The sequence below is a fragment of the Homo sapiens genome, chromosome 20 (assembly GCF_000001405.40).
Source record: "Homo sapiens chromosome 20, GRCh38.p14 Primary Assembly".
In the NCBI taxonomy this organism is placed as follows: domain Eukaryota; kingdom Metazoa; phylum Chordata; class Mammalia; order Primates; family Hominidae; genus Homo; species Homo sapiens.
Genome location: NC_000020.11, coordinates 399,784 through 406,487, shown reverse-complemented (window position 1 = coordinate 406,487; position 6,704 = coordinate 399,784). Strand labels below are relative to the sequence as shown.

At 44.5% G+C, this 6,704-nt stretch overlaps 2 annotated features.

Moving 5' to 3' along the window:
- Positions 315–471: a silencer, noted in NCBI's record as "fragment chr20:386661-386817 (GRCh37/hg19 assembly coordinates)". NCBI's record gives its function as "represses an EF-1alpha promoter that drives an FKBP-Casp9 reporter gene in an ReSE screen in phorbol 12-myristate 13-acetate-treated (for megakaryocytic differentiation) K562 erythroleukemia cells {active_cell/tissue: K562(+PMA)}" and the evidence as "EXISTENCE:reporter gene assay evidence [ECO:0000049][PMID:32094911]".
- Positions 4,195–4,471: a transcriptional cis regulatory region, noted in NCBI's record as "candidate enhancer chr20.29 targeted for multiplex CRISPR interference". NCBI's record gives its function as "positively regulates RBCK1 gene expression in K562 cells {active_cell/tissue: K562}" and the evidence as "EXISTENCE:mutant phenotype evidence [ECO:0000015][PMID:30612741]".

Here is a 6,704-nt window from a genome sequence, read left to right as displayed (position 1 = left end):
TGCTGGGAAATGGTTGCTGTTGAGATATCATCACCTGTCAATCTAACTGCTGTTCTTTTTATAAACAGCTTTATTGAGATATCATCACCTGTCAATCTAACTGCTGTTCTTTTTATAAACAGCTTTATTGAGATATAATTTATATGCCATAAAATCCACCCACCTAAAATATACAATTCAATAGTTTTTAGTAACATTTACAGAATTGTACACCCATCATCACAATCAAATTTTAGGACATTTTTGGCTGAGCATGGTGGCTCACACCTACAATCCCAGCACTTTGAGAGGCCGAGGTGGGCGGATCACTTGAGGTCAGGAGTTCGAGACCAGCCTGGCCAACATGGTGAAACCCTGTCTCTACTAAAAATACAAAAATTAGCCAGGTGTGGTGGCGGACATCTGTAATCCTAGCTACTGCAGAGCCTGAGGCATGAGAATGGCTTGAACCTGGGAGGCAGAGGTTGCAGTGAGCTGAGATCGCACCGTTGTACTCCAGCCTGCGTGATAGAGCGAGACTCTGTCTCAGACCAAAAAAAAAAAAAGAAAGAAAGAACATTCTTATCACCCCAAAATAGACCTGTACTCATTAGCAGACATTCCCTGTTTCCCATCCTCCAACTGACAGCACTAATATACTTTATGTCTCTATAGACTTTCCTCTTCTTGATATTTTATAGAAATTAGATCTTACTGATGGGCCACAGTGGCTCATGCCAGTAATCCCAGCACTTGGGGAGGCCAAGCCAGGTGGATCGCTTGAGCCCAGGAATTCAAGACCAGCCTGGGCAACATGGTGAAACCCCATCTCTACAAAAAATACAAAAATTAGCCGAGTGTGATGGCGTGCACCTGTAGAGCAGTGATCGTCCCACTGCACTCCAGCCTGGGTGACAGAGTGAGACCCTGTCTCAAAAAGAAAATTAGATTTTGACAATATGTGAACCTTTGTGACTGGCTTCTTTCACTTGGCATAACTTTGGGGTTTTTCTTGACATAACGTTTTTGAGGTTTATCCATGTTGTAGTACTGGTTTTTTGTTTGTTTTTTGTTGTTGTTGTTTTGGGGTTTTTTTGTTTTGTTTTGTTTTTTGTTTTTAGAATCTCTGATTCTTTTCCTCTGAGTGCTTTTAAGAGTTTTTTAAAAAAAATCTTTGGCTTTTTGCACTTTTACTATGATGTGTCTATGTGTAAAATTTATGGAGTTTCTTGAATCTGTGATTGGTGTCTGATTTCTGTCTCACTAATTCCCTCTTTAGCCATATCTAGTTTGCTGTTTAGCCCATCTTTTAAATTTAATTTGTGTGTGTGTGTGTGTGTGTGTGTGTGTGTGACAGAGTTTCACTCTTGTTGCCCAGGCTGGAGTGCAAATGGCACGATCTTAGCTCACTGCAACCTCTGCCTCCCGGGTTCAGGTGATTCTCCTGCCTCAGCCTCCTGAGTAGCTGGGATTACAGGTGTCTGCCACCACTCCTGGCTAATTTTTTGTATTTTTAGTAGAGACAGGGTTTCACCATGTTGGCCAGGCTGGTCTCGAACTCCTGACCTCAAGTGATCCACCCACTTCGGCTTCCCAAAGTGCTGGGATTACAGGTGTGAGCCACTGTGCCTGGCCTAAAAATTTTGATTATTGTATTATTTTATTTTAGAAGTTCTGTTAGGTTATTTTAAAATTTGTTGTCATGTGATATAATTTTCTATACTTTGGCAATGTTTCTAGGTTATTTATTTATTTAAACGCAGTAAACTTTTTTTTTTTTTAGACAGAGTTTCGCTCTTGTTGCCCAGGCTGGAGTGAGATGGTGCGATCTCAGCTCACTGCAACCTCTCCCTCCCGGGTACAAGCGATTCTCCTACCTCAGCCTCCTGAAGTACCTGGGATTACAGGAGCCTGCCACCAGGCCCAGCTAATTTTTTTGTATTTTTATTTGAGACGGGGTTTCCCCATGTTGGTCAGGCTGGTCTTGAACTCTTGACCTCAGGTGATCCATGCGCCTTGGCCTCCCAAAGTGCTGGGATTACAGGCATGAGCCCCCGTGCCCGGCCAACATTTTGTTTTATAATCTGCGTCTGATAATACTGATATACAAACTCTGGGCATATTTGTTTCTATCTGTTTTCGCTCCTGTTGTCTTGTTTTCTCCTGATGACCCTGCTGATTTATTATGGTCATGTACCATCAGCCCTGAGTTACCTGCATATATTTATATTGGGTGCAGCTATATTGTTTCAGGTTTTCTGGTCTCAGCCTTGGCCCTTCAGGGGAAGAGCTGGCATTCAACTTGAACACCTTCACCTCAGTGGGTAGACTCTAGTCATTCAAACTTGGGTTCCAATCTCAGTGCTACAGTTCACTATCTGTGTGACCCTGGACAAAGATTCCCCCTATCTGGGCCTCAGTTTCTTTCTCTGTTCAATGGTAATTATGATGGCTCCTCCCACATAGGCTGTTGTGAGAATCTGTACAAGTTATTAATTATTGATATGTGGCAAATTTCCCAAAATTAATTGCTTAAAAAAGCAATCAACATGTATGCTATCACATAGTTTCTGTGGGTTAGGAACTGGGGAGCAGCTACATAGATGGTTCTGGCTCAGGGTCACTCATGAGGTTGTAGTTAAGATGTCGGCTGGGGCTGCAGTCATCTGAAGGCTTGACTGGGGCTGGAGGATTGACTCAAGAAAGCTCTTTTATGTGCCTGGGTGGTGCTGGTTATTTGCAGAATGCCTACGATCCTCACCACATGTAAGTTTCCACAGGGGTAATTGAGTGTCCTCGCAACATGGCAGCTGGCTGTCCCCAGAGCAGATGATCCAGAAGAGCAAGGCAGAAGCCATAACATATTTTATGACCTAATCTTAAAAGTCATACTTTCTCATTTCACAATATTGTATTCATTACACTGGTCAGCCCAGCTTAGGATGGGAGGAAACTGTACAAAGGCGTGAATAGCAGCTGGTGAAGGTCACTGGGGACCATTTGGCTGTCACATATAAAGTGAGATGATCCAGGTAAAGCACTCAAAGCCATGTCTGGCATGTGCTATGTGTTCATCCCAATCAGTGTCCTGGCTTTGCTCTAGGCAGGTGGAATCTGTACAGGAACAACTTTTATTCAGTCATTCCACAAACATTTATTGAGCACTCCTGTGTACCAGGCACTGTTCTAGGAACTGGGTGAACAGTTATAAACAAAACATAGTCCCTGGCATTATAAAGCTCAAAAAAAACATAAAATACACTGCCTGGTGGTGCTCAGTGCTATGAAGAACCATAAAGCCAGGTAAGAGAAGAGAGAACGATGAGGAAATGAGGCCTGGGAGTCTTTCTCCTTGGATCTAGTACAACTGTAGTGGTGGCTTAGATTCTGACCTCTGATAAAGCCCTCCCTCCCCTGTGAGCGCATCCTGGCGTCACAGGCGTGTAAAATGTATACCCATTTTACACCAAGGCTAAAGTCAAACTAGTCCAGAGAAGAGCTGAAATAAGATTTGAGTCCCCAAGGAGTCCGGATTTCTTCAAATACAGAGGTTCTCCAACTTGGAGGCCCAGCAGCATCACCCAGGGAGCTTGTTAAGATGCAGAAGCCCAGATGTTCTGACTCTCTAGGTTGGGGGAGGATCCAGGGCTCTGCATTTTAAACAAGCACCCCAGGGATGGATGCAGGAGATCAACCAATCACATTTGAGAAATGTTCTGGTTGTGGGTAGTGGTCATACCTGTAACCCCAGTGCTTTGGGAGGCCAAGGCAGGAGGATCATTTGAGGCCAGGCATTCAAGACCAGCCTGGGCAAAATAGTGAGGCCCCTGTCTCTACAAAACAATTTTTTAAAAAACTAGCTAGGCGTGGTGGCACTCCCAGCTACTCAGGAAGCTGAGGTTGGGGGACAGCTTGAGCCCAGGTGTTCAAGGCTGCAGCGAGCCATGATCACACCACTGTACTCCAGCCTGGGTGACAGAGTGAGACCCTGTCTTTTTTTTTTTTTTTTTTTTTTTTTTTTTTTTTTTTTGAGATGGAGTTTCACTCTTGTCACCCAGGCTGGAGTGCAATGGTGCGACCTTGGCTCATTGCAACCTCCACCTCCCGACCCTGTCTTTTTTAAAAAAGAAACCCTGTTCTGAGGGCTTAGTGGCCAGGCAGGGCTCTAGGTCCAGCCCCAAGTGACGGACAGGGCTTAGCCATGCAGAGAGAAGGGGAACAGCTGGAGATCCAGAGACACCAAGCAATTTACTCAGGGGCATACAACCTGTAGGGAAAGTTTTAGGTGCACCTCATCTTATTTGATCAAATATATCTCATGTTGTACAGTAGTTCCCCACCCCCACCCCCATGATCTGTGGTTTTGCTTTCTGCAATGTCAGTTACCTGCAGCCAACCACATGATGAAATCTCATGCAATCCTGCACTATTCCACGTAGGATGTGAATCATCCCTTTTGCACTGTATCCATATTGTAGACATTACCCACGGTTAATCATTAACATCATCTGCTCCTGACATCCAATCATGGACATTGTCACGGCTTCATGATCCTGGATCACCCAAAGGAGATGATTCTCCTTCTGACGTATCATCAGGTGAGTAGTAGTCTAACGCTAGATCACAATGCCCATGTCATTCATTTACCTTCATCTCATCATGTAGGCATTTTATTATCTCCCATCATCACAAGAAGGGTGAGTACAGTACAATAGGACATTTTGAGGGAGAGACCACATTCGCATAACTTTTATTACAACATACTGTTATAACTGTTCTATTTATTGTTAACTGTTTGTTTTTTTTGTTTTTTTTTTTTTTTTGAGGTGGAGTCTCGCTCTGTCACCAGGCTGGAGTGCAGTGGCGCGATCTCAGCTCACTGCAACCTCCGCCTCCCGGGTTCAAATGATTCTCCTGCCTCAGCCTCCCAAGTAGCTGGGATTACAGGCATGCGCCACTACACCCAGATAATTTTTGTATTTTTAGTAGAGACGGAGTTTCACCATGTTGGTCATGATGGTCTCGATCTCTTGACCTCGTGATCCGCCCACCTCGGCCTCCCAAAGTGCTGGGATTACAGGCGTGAGCCACTGTGCCCAGCTGTTGTTAACTCTTAATTTGTAAGAGTTTAATTTACAAATTAAACCTTATCGTAGGTATGTATGTATAGTAAAAAACATGGTATATACAGAATTCTGTACTATCTGTGGTTTCAGGCATCCACTGGGGGTCTTGGAATGTATCCCCCCTGGATAAATGGGACCACTGTACATTGAAAAACAAGACCACACATTATTTTCAGCTCTTCCCATCAAGAGAAAGAATCAATTTGCCTGCATCCTGAATTTGATGTGGAATTTGACATGCTATTTGATATGCTTTGACACTAGTGCAGCTTGAACACTGGAATTTGTCCTCTCTTGTTGCTTTCTGAAACCCTGAGACCACCATAGGAAGGAGTAGGCTATGCCTATTGGAGGACGAGGCCATGTGGAGCAGAGAAGAGCCTTCCTGGCAAGGTAGACATTCGAGCTGCTTGCTGCCTGCAGCTGCAGGAGTGACCCAGCTGAATTCAGCCCAAATTGCCAGCCCAGAGGATCATAAACTACTGTTTGGGGTTTATAATGCAGCAGACTGACATGGCCTTGTTACTGGTGGAGAATATTTTTCCTCCCTTCACTAATGGCAAATTTTCCTTAGTCATGGTAATTAACACTATCTACCAGACAAACTCCAAATCTGAAAGACTTAACACAAGAAGCTTTATTTCTTGCTCAGTGAAATCTAAGGTGGATCTGGTGGCTCTCCTCCAGCTTGTAGCTAAGGGAACTTGTGGGCGCAAGGTGGCTGTGGCAGGGGAAGAGAGGGATGAGGCTCACCAGCTCTCCATTGCTTCAGCCTGCCACTCCTACACACACCCCACTGGTCAGAACTAGTCATGTGACTGTAAGGGAGGCTAGAAAATATAGGGGAGCTCCTGAAATATTGAGATGCCTGTCTTTGCCACAACGAACTTCCACGAATATAATTAGCTATGCCATCTGTACAGTTATCTGTTTAACATCTCTCTCCTCTATTAGACTGTGAACCCTTGAGGGTGGGAGCACATCTGTCTTGCATGGCACCTGGCCTATAGTAGGCATTCAGCGATGGTTGTTGAATTGCTAAGTGAATGAATAATCTGGCAGGTCACAATAGGATCTTTTGTGTTCAGCCCCCAGTGGCAGACATTCCTCAAGTAAATTTCTAACAGTCCTTCCCTTTCAGTAATATACATCTACTAATTTGATATTGTAAAACTCTTATACAATGATGATTAAATGAAGACAAGTAGAACATGAAAGTCCTCACTAATTAGGGTCGGGGTGTGGTGACATCCATTATTTGATAAGAGTGAATATTACATTTTATTATTATTTTGAGACAGAGTCTTGCTCTGTCGCTCAGGCTGGAGTGCAGTGGTGCAATCTTGACTCACTGCAATCTCTGCCTCCTGGGTTCAAGTGATTCTCCTGCCTCAGCCTCCCGAGTAGCTGGGATTACAGGCCCATGCCACCACGCCTGGCTATTTTTTGTATTTTTAGTAGAGACGGGGTTTCACCATGTTGGCCAGGCTGGTCTTCAACTCCTGACCTCAAGTGATCTGCCTGCCTCGGCCTCCCAAAGTGCTGGGATTACAGGCGTGAGCCCCCGCTCCGGGCCGATATTACATTTTTAATGGGCGG